Consider the following 16,422-nt stretch of genomic DNA (forward strand, 5'->3'; position numbering starts at 1 on the left):
AATTACCCATGCATGCCATGCCTCCTCACTTATAAGATACCAACCTCACAGGTTTGTGAAGATTAAGTGAAATAAAGAAGCTAGCTACATAACTCCCACTGCTAAAGCTTCCTTGTTCTGTCACCTTGGACAAGTTAACATTTCTGACTGTGTATTTTTCCTATCACCAAAAGGGGAATAACAGTATATAGGTCACAGTTTGTCAGTACTCATGAATGCAGTGATAGCCATAATTGGTCAGGCATAGAGCAGGTGCTTAACAAACCTTTGAATGTCACATAGAAAATGGATTTAGTTTTTACGTGGCTTACACAGCAAGACAGAGGGCAGCATGGGCCCATGCTGGCTGCCCTGGGCTTGGTGTTCCTGGCGTCATCTCCATTCTTCTGGTCAAAAAGATGCCACTAAAGCAGAGGCTGGGAAATGGTAAGGACCCAATACAGGGTCTGAAGGGTGGCCAGAGTGGACAGGGCACCAGACTCTTTGGGACTGCAGAACATGGCCTACCATACAGGTTTCATGGTCCCACTCAGTAGTTAACAAGAGCAGTCTGCCCTGATAAGAGTTAGGACCGGCTGACAAAACTACAGACATCCTAACATCTCGAAACTGTAGAGCTAGAAAAGACGTTAGAAATGGTCTAGTCCAACCACTTTGGGTTTCAGAAAAGGTAACTGAGAAAAGGTAACTTGTTAGTATGACAACTAGGACTTGAGCTTATAGCACATGGCCTCACCACTTACATGGTCTACTCCCCAAAGCAGCTCTGCTCATTTCATTCTTTTAGGTATTGGCTGGTGACTTAATTTGTAATTTAGATTTTAAACGGTGAGAGTATGCTGAGATCCATTAAACAAGTCACAACTAAACTTGAGTAAAACTATGACCTTTAATTGTAGACATAGAATTAAGAAAGAAGATGGGGTGACCAGCCTGAGCAACATGGTGAAACCATGTCTGTACTACAAATACGAAAATTAGCCGGGCATGGTGGCACACGCCTATAATCCCAGCTACTTGGGATGCTGAGGCAGGAGAATCATTCGAATCTGGGAGGCAGAGGTTGCAGTGATCCAAGATCGCGCCACTGCACTCCAGCCTGGGTGACAGAGTGAGTGAGACTCTGTATCAAAAAGAAAAAAAAAAAAAGGAAGAAAGATGGGATTTTATGAAAGCACTGTCATCTCTCAAGAGCAGGTGCCCACTAAAATAATTAAATCTAAATGTACAAATTCTTTGCATATACATACACAACACACACACACGAATATGTATTTTTAATGAAGAGAGCTATAAAAAGTGCTTAAACAGTTAACACTGATTTTAAAACTAATTACTTCAATAAATATAAAAACTTCACACCTCAACTGGTGTTCTACATTTTCCATCTGGCTTTAAATCTGAAGCGAATTAATTTGCATTATAAAATTTGGAAGCTGTGTTTCAACTTAGATATTCTTTATTTTAAATTATGAGCTTAAGCGCTGAAGGACATAAAAATAAAGCCCTAAAAAAGCACAGACAGTAGATGGATTTTTACTATGTCTGCTAATTTATTCTCAACGCTACAACAGAAATTAGCATATGTCCTCACTCTCTCTCTGCAATCCATTCCTAAGGCCTATTTGGCTTTGACTTCTCTCATACGTGCACTGAGTAACACCAACTGACCGATTTCTACATCTGCAGTCGATGTAACGTCCTAGTAAGAGAAACAACACATTTTTCGATGCCTTAAGAAGGTTGCCAAAATATAGAAGAGGCCTTTGGCATATTTTTGGGAAAAAATATGCAGTAATTTGGACCCACAACAGTTGGGTTTCCTCACTGGAACCAAGTATCGAGTACACAGAACAACCAGGCTACGCAAATCTTCTCTGTGGATGGCTATTATAAATAGACAGATATGCCTGTATATTTAGCAACCCAGTGCATTCCATACTAAATGAAATACTCTGAGTCTTGGAAGAATCTTCTAATGGTTAAATACCAGTTGGTTTCATTTAATTCAGGAAATATTTATTGAGTGCTTCTTATGTGTCTAGCGTGGTTAAGAGTTAGAAACATCTATGGGAACTTCTAGAATTGCCACTGAAGTTTCAAAGGATGCATCATTTATCATTTCTCTGTTTTGAGAAATAATTGGACAACCAGCTACCTTTTCACTTCTAATGAGACTGAAGAAACCAGTCCATGTTAAAAGGGGCAGTCTTTAGGATCTATTATACCAACACTAGAGGAGCGACGTAAAGAGCGTAATTCTTGACAAGAACATTAATTCACCGGCTTCGTTCCCCCCACACCAAGTTAGATGTTAATGTGTTGCATGAAGAGTTTCAGGTAGGTACAGCACTATGTTTTTCATCTTATGCAATAGTCTTTTCAGGGAGAGTCCAAGAATTGGGAAAGCAGTGCTGACATAAGATCATTCACACACAGAATCAAATGATTCTACAGGATGCTTTGTTTCAGGAGGTTAAAAAAAAAGAAAGGATCTTCATTCAGGGCAAAATAAGGCCTTGGCAGCATAAGGACATTCATTAGAGTTACCTGGAAATACCGTGGTAGAGAAGTCTAGAAGGAAGCAAAAGGTTTATACAGCATTACGGCTTAACGTAGTTGCACATATACAGTCATCAGCTTTTACGATGACACTGTGTGGGAGTAGTCAGCTGTTTCCAATCAGAAAAGTGATGCAGTAAGTAAAACTTCAGTGCTAAATCATATTTACTCTTAAAGGTGACCACATATAAAAAGTGTAACAGTTCAGGCCATTACTTTGAAAATTTTACCCTTTTTGTTTGTTTTTAAACCCAACGATTTCTGATGCCAGTAGATGGCACTAGTGGTATATTAACAAGCATAAGTCATTCTTTTGCTCCCGCTTAAAGGGCCGTACTCTTTTATAGAAACACTTAAGCAGCCAAAGAAATTGCTCTGTATAACTGTGGTTTTTCTGTAAAATGAAAAAAATTAGAATAAACTAAAACATCTTTAGGAAGAGAGTCCCATGGAGCTAGTCTGTGCATCCTAAGTCCACAGAACATAGCATTCCTCCTCCTGACTGCACTGTCAGTCACTTTAATCCGACTCTTGCTAATATACTCTGTCTTATGACTGCCACACTGCGCTCCTTGCCAGGAAGAGCAGCGCCTACCAGAACGTATCACATTGAGCCACTGTCCCCAATGTCATAAAAATCAGTGAGACAAAGTAAAACAGAAATTGGAGCCAGAGGAAATAAAACTGTAGAAACCCACTAAAAAATCAACAGTAAAGTTAAGGAGTTATGATTGGGTGACAGAAGAAACCTCAAGGAAGAAAAGTAAATTGAGGTGCTGCTTGGAAAGAAGGAATTACACAGTAGATTAAAGTCAGAGGAAGGAGTTTGAAATACCTGTGAATAGCTGCAAAAAGGTCTTCTGTGGTCCTGGGTCGACTGGGGGTCATTACCTCATCATTCCCGTCTTCCTTGAGGAAGTCACAGGCCTCTGAGGATGAACCGGCTGCGTTGGTCTCCGGCACCCCAGCTACAGAAGAGCAGGCAGGCATACAAGACGCACAAGTGACTGGAATTTCAGTCCTCAGCCAAGCTTCTAAATATGCTGCTTCCCTGCCATTCCCGACAATGTGAGAACCACAGGGAGATGCCGTGGGTCTGTAGTTTGATAGTTTACAAAGAAGGGAGGAAATGACACTAGCCTGAGAGCCAGAGCTCATTCTTTGTTAAAGTATGGAACGCCCATGGCATCTCTCTTAAATTTTGTTGCAACGTTTCTTTGCGCGGCTCTTCGGAAGGGAGGTGTTACCCATTGCTATTTAATACCCAGCCTGCTGCAGATCATCTCCATCCCCCTATTTTCTGCCATGCCTTTAGGTCTAGATTTTAAAAATAATAACAAAATGCAAAGTTGGTAACTTAATCTGTGTTTTAACACAGGAAGCCTACATACTGCTAGCTTTAACAGGAATCTGATCTACCTGGGTTCTTTCCACGTGTGAGCATTCAACAACCCTATCTGGTTCAGCTGCATATGGGCAGAGGGCACAGGAGAGAGAAGCCAGGAAGCCAGACTCACCTGCTCCGTCCTGTTGAGATAGGCAGCTCTCCCCATCGCCCCCAGTATCCGCACTGTTCTCGGCTGGCTCCTCCTGCTTGGGGGCTGGTGAGACATCAGGCTGAACCATGGGGACATTGGCTTCCACTCTGCTGGGAGACATGGATCCTGCAGCTCCTCCCTCAAGAACCGAGGTGCCAGGGTGCGTGGCATGAGAGCCAGCTTGGGCTGCAGAACTCTCTTTTGCCTCCCTGCTGTGCACAGAGCCCTCCTCTCCCGTCGTGGGGCTGGGCACAGCTCGGAGGGCTTCGCTCACGTTCTCTGCGGGCTCCACTGCAAAATCTTTCTGCGGAGGTGGTACCACCAGGAACAGTTTGGGCTTCTTGGAAATGGGGGGTGGCTTCCTGCTGGGTGAAGAGTCTGGGAGTGGGGTGGTGCTGGGGCTGGGCCGAGCCTCTGCCTCCCCAGCGCTTGGAGCTCCAGGGCTGCGGCTCACAGGGCCACCACGCTCAGCCGCACTGCCATGGTCACCCTGACTCGAGCTCTTGGCAGGCGTCGGAAGCGAGCTTGTCACAGAGGCAGGCTGGCTTTCACTCTCCATTTCATTTGTGCTATTTCGGGATTTCAGGAAAGCAGATGGCTTTAAGTGGTACTGTGGAGCAACTGGAGTTCGTTGTTCCTGAGCTGTTCGTTCAGACAACTGTGCCGCCTCAGCGCCTGAGTTCTTTCTCACGGGCCTCAACTGCACCATCTGCAATGCTTCCGTGGTTATCAGGGGCATGGGGGGCCTGCTGGTCTCCTCCTTGGTAGAAGGCGGCCTCAAGGATCCCCGGGAGGATTCTGGCTGGCCAGAATTTGTGAAAGGCGGCCTGGTGTCTTTCATGAATTTGGGGTCAAGAGGTGGGGCAGGTGGGGGTTCCGAGGAAGGTAAGAGAGGTGGGGGCAATGGCAAGGACACAGGTGAATCTGGAAGAATGGGGCTCAGTGCAGGGCGGGGAGGAGAAAGGCACCAATCAGGTGGGGAGCAGAAAGGAATGAGAGCTTCTGGCGGCGGAGGGGGGAACACAGGAGAGTGAGGCAGAGGAGAGCCCTGGGAGCAATCTGTGACAGGAGGTGGGGGAGGAAGGAAAGGAGACCTGTCTGCAGGACAAGGGAATGGAGGAGAGGGAACAGGAGGAGGAGGAGGAGCCGGGGGAGAGCCCACGGCTGGATCCAGCTTCTTCATAGTGCCACTTCCTTCAGTAGAAGTACTAGAAGAAAGAGAAGTGGACGATGAGGAAATGGATACTGAAGATATCAGAGAGGACTTCCTTTCTGGTACCTTGGGCTTGGGCTTCCCCTTCCCGTTTGCTGGTGACACTGATTTTAAAAACACAGGCACAGGGGTGAGTGCTGTGGGTGTATTCGACTGGCTGGAATACCCACTGGATGGAGAAATGACTCTGTGTGACTTCTCTGGTGACATGATCTTTGGTTTGACTGAACCACCGGGCACTTGGGGCATTGTGGCTCTGGACCCTTCTTGGACATGGCGGACTGGCCCGTTCCCAGTGGGCACCCCACTGCTGGTTGAACAGCCCCCTGCCGGGTTCCCCGGATCTTCCTGCATGCCCGTGTAGTCAATGTAATAACCCCAGGGGTCCGTGTACTCTGACTTGACGCTGCTTGTGTCACTCTGCGATGGCGTGGCCCCGCACAGGGAGTAGACATTGGGGGTGGTGGCGGAAGTCATGCTGCTGCCAGCACTAACTGTGCTCTGGCTCCGGGAGCGGGGCAGCCAGGGCTCTTCCAAGTCACTGCAGGGGCTCTGGGAGGGCGAGCTGCCACTCTTGCCTGGGAGGCTCAGCTGCAGCGAGTGCTGGAGTGTGGCGATCAGGCTCTCGTTGAGCACCTGCCCGTTGCACTGGCTGCTCTTCTTGGGAATCCTGCGGAGGGAGTCTGTCCGGGAGGGTGGCAGGGGAGGCTTCTTTGCTTTCTTCAAAGAGATGTTTCTTGATAGGGATTTATCCTGGTAATTGGACCGGTCCCCTTGGTTTTTCTGAGCTCTTCCAACAAAAACATTGATCACGCTGTGCCTGGGGTTCCCAAAGCCATCACTGCTATTGCACAGATTCCCAGATCCATGTCCAGAGTCAGTGTGCACAGATGCACAGTAGCCATCGTGGTCCTCAGAATACAGCGACCCAGCATCCTCTTTGTTGGACGTTTGGTCCAAACTGCAGCTGCTCATGTTACTTGTGGGAGTGGAATAGCCAGGAGTTGCTAAATGCGGCTTCAGGGGGGATGCCCTTCCATTACCTGAGGATTTGTATTCCCAGGGCTCCGAGCTGCTGTGCCCTCCGCCCCCTGAATAACTAGATTCACTCTTGCCATCCACATCTTGGGGGTGGGCTGGGAAGGCCAGGTTGTTTCTACAATTATACGGCATAGCTTGGGACCCATTCTCCCTATTTGCTGGAGCATTTAGAGGGACGGCTGAGTCACAGAGGGACAACAGTGCGGGTTCACCAGGGGAATGAGGGTCTAAGTCCTGTGAAAGAATGGTGGCATGGCCCTCATTCCAGTGGCGACCGGGAGACTGAGGATCACCTTTCACAGCATGCCTGGAGATGAGGTGGTCTCTGGATTTTATCCTTGCATGTGATGAGCCAGAACTTTTACTTTCCCGCTGTCCCGCACTCTGAGCAGTGGGAATAGCGATGACCTCGGAAGAGGAAGACAGTGTGGCATTTGGGATGATGCTGGTGGAGTAGGTTGCATGAGGAGAAACCACACACGCTGGGCTCATTATATTTTCACTCTCGAAGTGTCTCAACTCCTGGGATTTGGGTCTCAAAAGTGTTCCAGTCCCTGAGGCACCTCCTAAATGGCCTAAGTTTTCATCTGCTTGTGGGTGACCTCTCTGGTAGAGGAAAGTGCCATTCATGTCTCCTGCAGGGCCGAGGGCACCCAGCCTCGGCTCAAGGGACTGAATGTTTGCCCTTGCTCCAGAACGCGGAAGACTATGGAAGCCAGCATCACTGTCAAGGCGGGAAGGGAATACGATCCCTGCAGAATCGCTCAGCACAGACATGTTGCCAGAGGAACCTGAGAAGTGGCCCATCTGGGCAGCAATGCCTTGCCCCTTCTGTGCCCTGATTCTCCTCATGGAAGGTGGTACGACCTTCACATCCTCCGTCTGACAGCTGGAGTCCCTGGTTTCTGAGCGCTGCCCAGCAGACCGACAGCTATTGAACCTTCCTAGTGTAGAGTAGTGATCAGGGGTGTACACTGAGTGGCCATCAGCATCATCTTGGCCAGTGCCTGATGCTGGAGATAAAGCAGAAAGAGGCTTGTTACCTGAAAATAAAATCCATAGTTCATCACGTGTACCCTCACCCCTCTGACAGAATTTTAAAAAAATTTTTCTATTTGATTTAATTTCCTTTCTCCTGTAGGTATCTAAGTACATTTAAAAAGTTACTGATAGCTCTAAAATGAAAATTATTGTCATGAATGTCAGGTACTTCTCTTAATTTGTACCTCCAATCCTCCTATGGCTTGAGTGCTGCGTATGGAATTCTCAGGGTATCCCTTCAAGATCAAGGCTGCCAAGGGCTCAGAGGAGGATTTACTTTGAAATAATCACCTTTCAGTAAAGTCTTCAAGGTAGCCTTTCGCCCACTGGGTGACTGTGCAGACCATCTATCAAGCAGTGACACATCTTTCCCAAAGGTAGATGAATGTAGTAATTGAACAATAGGGCCACAGAGATACCATATTTGAGGGGTACTGGTATAAAACAGTGTTAATTACATTAATTCTTTATGTCAGAAGGAAATTCTAAGGCAAAGAAAATTGATTTACAGGCCCATCTGTGTTCCAAACATTTCATTATCCATCTGAAGCCATTATCTGTCTGTTGGTGACATTCAAAATTCAACAGCAATCTGTTGTGTTCTAGTTGGGGAAACTGGCAGGAACTGATCCAGTGAACATTTCCTCAAATTAGGATGATTTATTCGTTGGAGTTTTACAACCAAACAGAGAATAGTATGTTAAAAAAAAAAAAAGACAGAAAGAAAGAAACACAAGGAAGGGCCAACAGAGAGGGACGTGGACGAGGTAAACTTTAAGTGTAAACAGTTAGATTTCAAGCTACCCAGGAAAGAACAGAGCTTATGAGAAAAAAGAAAAAAAATCACAAAGACAAGAACCTACCCAAAGTGTACTGAGAAAAAAAAAAGTCAATCCTTAAGACAAATCGAATCTCTAAAAATAGTAGTAAAACTATAGTTCTCCCTATGTTATCTCCATCCAACAAGGACCCAAAAGTATCTATCTCAACACGGGCTTTGCTGAGCAATGCGAGTCAAGCACACCCCTCTGTGTCAGTGGACACCTGGATGCGACCCTAGGACTGATGGGGTTTCTAAGGCTTCCCTCTCCCAACACATAATCTAACCAGGGCATGGACTGGATATAGGATGCCTTTTGCTCACTCAGATAGCAGAGGGTAGTACTGAAATGGCAGCACTGTGCTTGTATCAACCTCAAAGGAGATGGCACCCTGGAAGGAAGGATCCCAGCATAAAGCCTTCTCCTTCACTGTGATGATGGAGAGGAATTTTTATACTTGTATTTTTAGCGAAGATGATCTATTTCCTCTCTCTACCCTCTTTCAAGTACTCACTCACTGAAGACAGATAGACAGACACATACACACACACGAGGCTGTCCCACACAGAGAGGGAAATGGGCAAAAGGGCAGGACAGAAGAAAAACCCACTTTGAGGAAGTGCAAAATTTTGCCATTTAGTAATTTAGAAGATGGGAAGTTGACTGGTATCGGTGTATCAGTGTATACGAGTTCAATTCCAAACACTCAAAATATCTCATTCCATTCAACAATGAGTTTTGAGTGTTTGGAGTTGAACTCATATAAACAAATACATTTTTTTTCCTTTCAAAATTGTACTAGTTTTTGCATGGAGTTAGTGGTAGATTTTTAACTGTCTTTAAGTAGCATAAACAAAATCCTGATACTTTTGGGTAGCAGTTTTAAATGTGAAACCATTCTAGGCATGTAAAAAAAAATAGAAATACAGCTATTTTATCACCCTCTAGAGCTAAGTATAACTTTCTTATTAAAACAAAAACATTTCCTAAAGACCTTAAAAAGCATATGAAAAAACTCATATATCTTATCACAAGGACCACCAAAATTCTATTCCCAAAACAGACCCTCCAATATTTTCACAGTATAAAAAGTTTCAGAATATGATAGGAAACAGATGAATGCTATAGATGCATACGTCGTTTTACTGTGCTTAGCTTTATTGTGCATTGCAGATAACTGGGGTTTTTTTTTTTGTTTTTTTGTTTTTGTTTTTTTTTTTACAAGTCGAAGGTTTGTGGCAACCCTGTGTTGAGCAAGTCTATTGATGCCATTTTTCTAACATGCTTACTGTGTGTCTGTGTGTCACGTTTTGGTAATTCTTGCAATATTTCAAACTTTTTCATTATTATTAGATCTGTTACGGTGATCTGTGACCAGTGATCTTTGATATTACTATTGTAATTGTTTTGGGGGTGCCACAAATCACACCCACATAAGATAGCAAATATAATTGATATATGTTGTGTGTGTTCTGACTGCTCCACTGACCAGCTGTTTCCCAGTTTCTCTCCCTCTTCTTGGGCTTCTCTATTCCCTGAGATACAACAATAATGAAATTAGGTCAATTAATAACCCTACAATAGCCTCTAAGGGTTCAAGCGAAAGGAAGAGTTGCATGTCTCTCACTTTAAATCAAAAGTTAGAAATGATTAAGCTTAGTGAGGAAGGCATGTCAAAAGCTAAGATAGGCCAAAAGCTAGGCCTCTTGTGCCAAACAGTTAACCGAGCTGTGACTGCAAAGGAAAAGTTCTTGAAGGAAATGAAAAGTGCTACTCCAGAACATACACAAATAAAAAAACAGCTTTATTGCTGATATGGAGAAAGTTTTAATGGTCTGGACAGAAAATCAAACCAGCCACAACATTCCCCTTAAGCCAAAGCCTAATCAAGGCCCTAACTCTCTTCAATTCTGTGAAAGCTGAGAGAGGTGAGGAAGCTATAGAAGAAGAGCTGGAAGCTAGCAGAGGTTGTTTCATGAGGTTGAAGGAAAGGAGCCATTTATATAACATAAAAGTGAAGCAGCAAATGCTGACGGAAAAGCTGCAGAAATTTATCTAGAGAATCTAGCTAGGTTAATTGATGAAGGTGGCTATACTCGACAACAGGTTTTCAATGTAGATGAAACGACCTTCTAGTGGAAGATGTCATCTAGGACTTTCAAAGCTACAAGAGGAGGAGTCAATGCCTGTCTTCAAAGCTTCAAAGGACAAATTGACTCTTGTTACAGCCAAAGTAGCTGGTGACTTTAAGTTGAAGCCAATGCTCTTTTACCATTCTGAAAATCCTGGAGTCCTTAAGAATTATGCTAAATAGAGTCTGCCTGTGCTCTGTAAATGGAACAACAAAGCCTGGATGACAGCATGTCAGCTTACAGCATGATTTACTGAATACTTTTAAGTCCACAGTTGAGATCTACTGCTCAGAAAAAAAAAGATTTCTTTCATTTACAGTGCACCTAGGCCAGGGGGCAGTGGCTCACACCTGTAATCCCAACACTTTGGGAGGCCAAGGCAGGCAGATCACCTGAGGTCAGGAGTTCGAGACCAGCCTGAACAACATAAAGAAACCCTGTCTCTACTAAAAATACAAAAAAATTAGCCAGGCGTGGTGGCACATGCCTATAATCCCAGCTATTCAGGAGGCTGAGGCAGGAGAATAGCTTGAACCCAGGAGGCGGAGGTTGCAGTGAGCTGAGATCGCGCCATTGCACTCCAGCCTGGGCAACAAGAGTGAAACTCTGTCTCAAAAAAAAAAAATACACAAATGTATATATATATATATATATATATACACACACACATATATATATATACACATATATATATACACATATATATATATACACATATATATATACACATATATATATATATACACACATATACACACACACACACACACACACACACACACACAAAAAAAAAAAAAAAAAATACAATGCACCTAGTCACCCCAGAGCTCTGATGAAGATGTACAAAGTTTTCATGCCTGTTAACACAACATTCATTCTGCAGCCCATGGCTTAAAGAGTAATTTTGACTTTCAAGTCTTAATTTTGTAATGCATTTTGTAAGGCCAAAGCTGCCACAGATAGTGATTCCTCTGATAGATCTGAGCAAAGTAAGTTGGAAACCTGAAAAGGATTCACTACTCTAGCACAGTAAGAACAATTTTAATTCATGGGAGAAGGTCAAAATATCAACATTAGTAAGAGTCTGGAAGAAACTGATTCCAGCTCTCGTAGATAACTTTTGAGAGGATCAAGACTGAAGTGAAGGAAGTGACTCCAGATGTGGTAGAAACAGCAAGGAACTAGAGTTAGAAGTGGAGCCTGAAGATGTGGCTGAATTGCTGCAATTTCATGATCAAACTTGAACAACGAGGCATTGCTTCTTACAGATGAGCAATGAAAATGCTTTCTTGAGATGGACTCTACTAGTGAAGATGCTGTGAACATTGTTAAAATGACAACAAAGGATTCAGAATATTATATGAACTTAGTTGATAAAGCAGCAGCAGGGTTTGAGAGATTGACTCAAATTTTTAAAGTAGTTCTACTGTCGGTAAAATGTTAATAAACAGTATTACGTGCTACAGAGAAATCTTTCAAGAAAGGAAGGATCTGTCAGTGTGGCAAATGTCACTGTTGTCTTATTTTAGGAAACTGCCACAGTCATTCCTACCTTCAGCAACCACCACCCTGATCAGTCAGCAGCCATCAAATTTGAGGTAAGACCCTTCACCAGCAAAAAGATGACAACTGTCTGTAGGCTCAGATGATCCTTTGTATTTTTTAGCAATCAGGTATTTTTACACTGTACATTTTTTTTTAACATAATGCTATTGCAAACTTAGTAGACCACAGCACAGTGTAAACATAACTTTTATAGGCACTGGAAACCAAAAAATTCGTGTGACTTGCTGTATTGCAATATTCACTTTATTGTAGTGGTCTGGAACTATAGCTGCAATAACCCTGAGGTATGTCTTTACAGATTAAAGGATGGAACAAACTACAAAAAGACAACTACAAACAAGTGTAGACCACTTAGGTGCTGCTCAAACTTGATGGGATTTATCTGATTTTAAGACATAATGTACAGAAATAATTATTTATACTTTTTCTTTTATTAATAATATTTTGAATTTCTAAAAAATATATGTAATTAAGGATGCTGAATATTTACAAGTTAGTTTATTTAAGGATTAGGCTATGAGTTTTTAAAAAGTCTTGTCAAGTAGATAGTTTCTTAGTATAAACTACCAAAAATTATTAATAAAGGGATTCCTTTAGATGAGGCCTTTTCTGCTTAGAGAATATGTATGGGGATAAGTTCAGTAGCCAAGTGTTATATATATATATCAACAAAATAATCCTATCTGATTCTAAAAGATGAAACCTCATAAGATGATGTTCAGATACATTTCTGTACAGATTTAAGATAAAAGAAAAAATTCAAAATGTCCAATTCACTGAAACGAAAGGCAACAAATTTTAGTTTATCAGATAAGTTTTGGAAATAAGCATTAAATATCATACCTTGATTTTAAAGTGTTATATATTGGCTAGTCTCCAGAGTCTATTATTTGTGGATTTTGAAATAAAAACTGCATATAATTAAGGATAATATAAATCCTTTCTAATTCATGGAAGTACCTCTCTGGTTAGATTTTTTTAAAAATCCAAAGCCGCTGGCAACTTGGGCAACATCTTTTGGACAGGGTGCATCTTTCCCAGTGAATGCCTTTCCTTTGGGACATCATTTTCTTTTTTGTCTAATTTGTTTGTTATACTTCCCTTGTGTGTCTTATATCTAGAAGAAGACTAATTTTAAAGAAAATATAAAGTGTCTATTTTTGATCATCATTACCTAGGTATGATTTGATAATCATTACCTAGATATACTACCTTGGTAGTTTAAGACTTCCAAACCAGAGTCCTTATAAGTGTAAAATACTGGGAAAAAAGGCAAGATCAACCAGAAGTCCTGAAAGGACAGAACAAATAAATATGTAATCCAATATTTTTGCTAAATAAAACTGTATACAAATGTTAACTCCTCATTCTATCCAGTAATCCTCCAACTAGCCTATCTATAAAACCACAGTCCTTGTCTAATTATCTTTTTTGTTTTAAAAAAACTAGCTCTTAGATACGGTTGTCTCAGTTGACCTCCAGTTCTAATCCAGGTCATGTCATCGACCGTAATGATATTGACTGTCTCGTGTCTGGCAACAGTCACAACCCAGATGATGCGGGGAAAGCTATTTTCTTCCCTCCAGCATTAGTGACGTTCCATGTCACATGTAAAAGAAATGAACGTGGATTCCAGAGATTTTAATCACTGATTTAAAAAATACTAAAATTACAAAAGATATGATTTATCTAGCTGGCCAGAACATTCTAGTAAGATCAAAGAAACAACTGAGTTATTGGCTTCCATACTGGTTGGTTCAGTAATAAAAGTGATAAAAATTTGTAACTCTCATTCTAGACATCATATTACATATGCATACAGACAATGCATATGGAATACTTATGTGTATGTGCATCTTTACTTGGGCCACACTATCCTTCTGATCTTACAAAGGGCCTAAATGCCTGTCTTTAAAGTCACTCCTTGAAGTCACATCTCCTAAAAAGACCAGTTAAAGTATAAATGTTGCTGGAATGCTTTAGGAAATTACTCCATTAACTATCTACTGAACATATGAGTACAGATTAGTTTCCGAATTAGTTAGCTGTCACTTCAAGAATGGAAAAAAGAGTCTGAAAGAATAAGGCATAAACTGAGAGGAGAGAGAGAAAGCACACATGTTTCCTTAAGGTAGGTTGAGGGAAGGTGCCTGGAGACCTCAGGTAGCCACAGAGGAACCAGGCCACTAATAGCAGCAGCATGTGGGGCACGAACCAAAGACAGACTTCACAATCCCACGGGAGCTGCTGCAGTCTTGCCTTTGTTTGTAATAAACCAATCCATGATAGAACAGGGCAAACACCTGTATACCATCTGGGTCACTGTGGCTGCCTGCGGCAAAGGCAGAGCATTGCTATTCTCACCTGACTATTGCTACAGCATGGAAGGCAGAGCATATATACTACAAAAGTGGATGGCAGTAAAGGAGAAAATGCCAGCTAAAGAAAAGTGAGTCTGTGCTCTCTAATACAAGGCATTCAATCAGGGATGTTTGGGAAAACAAACAGAGAAGCACAATGTCTGTAGCACCCAGAAGGTGACATACAACCTCAAGGTGCTATCACAGATATATCACTATTGCTGGTTACACTCATTTTGACTAAAAGACTAACTGCAAACTTTAGAAATAATGACTCTGAGTTTCTAGAGTGTAACTTTTGAGAGTAAATAAAAACATCAGGTGAAAGTAACTATTAGGAAATAAGTCCATAGGTTGGCCAAAGAGGAAAGGACACATTTCAAGACAGGTAGTATTAAGTTTCCTATAATAATGACCACAGTAGCTATTACGTTTATGGTAGTACCAGGTACTAACCAAGTACCAAGGGCCTCACATGCACAAATTGTCCTCAAACAACCCTAAGAGGTAGGTTCTATTAACATCACCAAGCCCGTTTGTTAAATGAGGAAGTAGACTCAGAGAGACGAAGTTAACTGAGGTCACCCAGAGAGCAAGTGGCAGAGTTAGGGTTCAACCAAGCGGGCTGGCACTGGAGTCCTTAGTCCTAACCCAGGAGCTATGCTATGGTGCCTCTGCAGACCTTCTGGTATTATGGGCCCTATTAGAAAACAGTGAGAGGAAGTTAATCTAGAAAGAGGAAAATGAAGGGATTATCCAAAGCATTTATAATGATAACCAGAAACAAAATGGGTAAGTAATTAAACAACCCTCTTCACCAGCCAAACACAGATTGAACAAAAAGAATTAAGGATAAAGAAGCTATGAAATTGTTTCACTGAAAGTAATAAAGGCACCATCCAACATAAATGACTATTTTCTATCTTATTGACATTTACCAATAATCCCAGACTGTTGTTTCTGATGACAAAATGCCACCAGTAGTGTCATTATAGTTATAGTGAAAGTCCATATTCATAATCTGACGTCCTAGAATGACTTCTGTTTCATGAAAACTTAAGATCTAAATGACAAGTAAATTTAATTGTGGGAATAGCCAATGTTCCATGTCACATAACAATGATGAGGTTAACTATGAATTCTATCATCCCAGTTAATCGTTTTCATGTAAGCTCTTCCTTCTCCTTGTACCTTCTCCCCAAAATTCAATCAACTCTCTCTCTCCATGGGATGTTAAGATTTGCACCTAATGCCTCATTCAGGAAGGAAGCTGGCCCGTTGGGGCACCAAACGGCTATCAGAATGTATCGATTTTATAAGCACCATGAATGAGGTTAGCGCAGTAAGGCCGAGCAGCAGTGAAGGGCAACAGAATACAGTTCTGATGAGCCATACCTAGCTCCTTCTGTATGTTGTCAGGGACTCCTGTAATAGTCTTTCTCCTTTTGACTTTCTTCGGTCGTCTTACCAGAGTGTCTGTGTAAATTAGAGACCGCCGAAGGCTGGCCTGGCGATCGAAATTCTCCCCTAATGTAGAGTAGTAGAACAAGCAAAGCAATGTTATTTTCAAGCAAGCTGACACCATGCACTTTCTTCCAGAAGCTTGTTGTAAAATGATAAGAAGGTATTAATAATGTTAGCCAGTCATATGATGATGAATGCTGAAGGGCAAAAAAGGAAGAAAAGCACATTATCACAGTAAGGCTGTTTTCCAAGTTCCACCTTCCAAAGGAAGCACCTTGATCTCATTTTCAAATGAGCTGGAGTAGCAAATGCAAGTTTAATAACACACTGGAAGAGTCACTCTGTGTTATTTAACAAAACAAAATTTTGGAAGTGTTTCAAATATATCCTCTGGTCACCAAAACCACTCTACATTAGCGTGTAGGTGGTGATGGTAATGAGTATGTTTCATTCATCTGGTCATCTTGCAGAGATCGAAATTAATGTCTTGCCTTGTGTGATGAAATAAGTAACTTAATAAAGATTTCTTGAATGAAAAGCTTTTTCTTCAATCAAGGAGGCTGACAATTTGGATAGACTGTGGTAATTGTTGTGGTGTGACATACAACTATAGTGAAAAATGAAACGCCTTATAATGATAAAGTACTTTTACCACAATGAGACCCAGTAGCGCTGCTGTTGTTA

General features: G+C 42.1%; 1 protein-coding gene and 1 non-coding gene across 27 annotated transcripts in view, besides 3 other annotated features; both read right to left on the reverse strand.

Annotated features, from left to right (window-relative positions):
• NHSL1 (NHS like 1) overlaps window positions 1-16,422 on the reverse strand; it is a 271,170-nt gene that overhangs the window by 4,271 nt on the left and 250,477 nt on the right. For 19 of the 26 annotated variants that reach the window (XM_047419109.1, XM_011535976.2, XM_047419119.1 and 16 more), the window contains 3 exons: window positions 15,670-15,801; window positions 4,080-7,367; window positions 3,398-3,530 (listed from right to left, as the gene is read on the reverse strand). In XM_047419109.1, the coding sequence (XP_047275065.1) occupies window positions 3,398-3,530; window positions 4,080-7,367; window positions 15,670-15,801 (3,553 nt within the window). The remainder of the gene's footprint in view (window positions 1-3,397; window positions 3,531-4,079; window positions 7,368-15,669; window positions 15,802-16,422) is intronic. The other 7 variants (XM_047419113.1, XM_047419110.1, XM_047419115.1 and 4 more) reach the window with 1 other exon arrangement.
• Window positions 3,871-4,372: an enhancer, noted in NCBI's record as "H3K4me1 hESC enhancer chr6:138751321-138751822 (GRCh37/hg19 assembly coordinates)". NCBI's record gives its function as "activates a minimal SCP1, AML or CMV promoter by ChIP-STARR-seq in naive H9 embryonic stem cells {active_cell/tissue: H9 hESC(naive)}" and the evidence as "EXISTENCE:reporter gene assay evidence [ECO:0000049][PMID:30033119]".
• Window positions 4,373-4,872: an enhancer, noted in NCBI's record as "H3K4me1 hESC enhancer chr6:138751823-138752322 (GRCh37/hg19 assembly coordinates)". NCBI's record gives its function as "activates a minimal SCP1, AML or CMV promoter by ChIP-STARR-seq in naive H9 embryonic stem cells {active_cell/tissue: H9 hESC(naive)}" and the evidence as "EXISTENCE:reporter gene assay evidence [ECO:0000049][PMID:30033119]".
• Window positions 8,900-8,981, reverse strand: MIR3145 (microRNA 3145). The gene has a single exon (NR_036099.1). It is a non-coding gene; the product is annotated as a microRNA 3145 (primary transcript).
• Window positions 14,762-14,949: a silencer, noted in NCBI's record as "fragment chr6:138762212-138762399 (GRCh37/hg19 assembly coordinates)". NCBI's record gives its function as "represses an EF-1alpha promoter that drives an FKBP-Casp9 reporter gene in an ReSE screen in K562 erythroleukemia cells {active_cell/tissue: K562}" and the evidence as "EXISTENCE:reporter gene assay evidence [ECO:0000049][PMID:32094911]".

The sequence above is a fragment of the Homo sapiens genome, chromosome 6 (genome assembly GCF_000001405.40).
Source record: "Homo sapiens chromosome 6, GRCh38.p14 Primary Assembly".
NCBI lineage: Eukaryota > Metazoa > Chordata > Mammalia > Primates > Hominidae > Homo > Homo sapiens.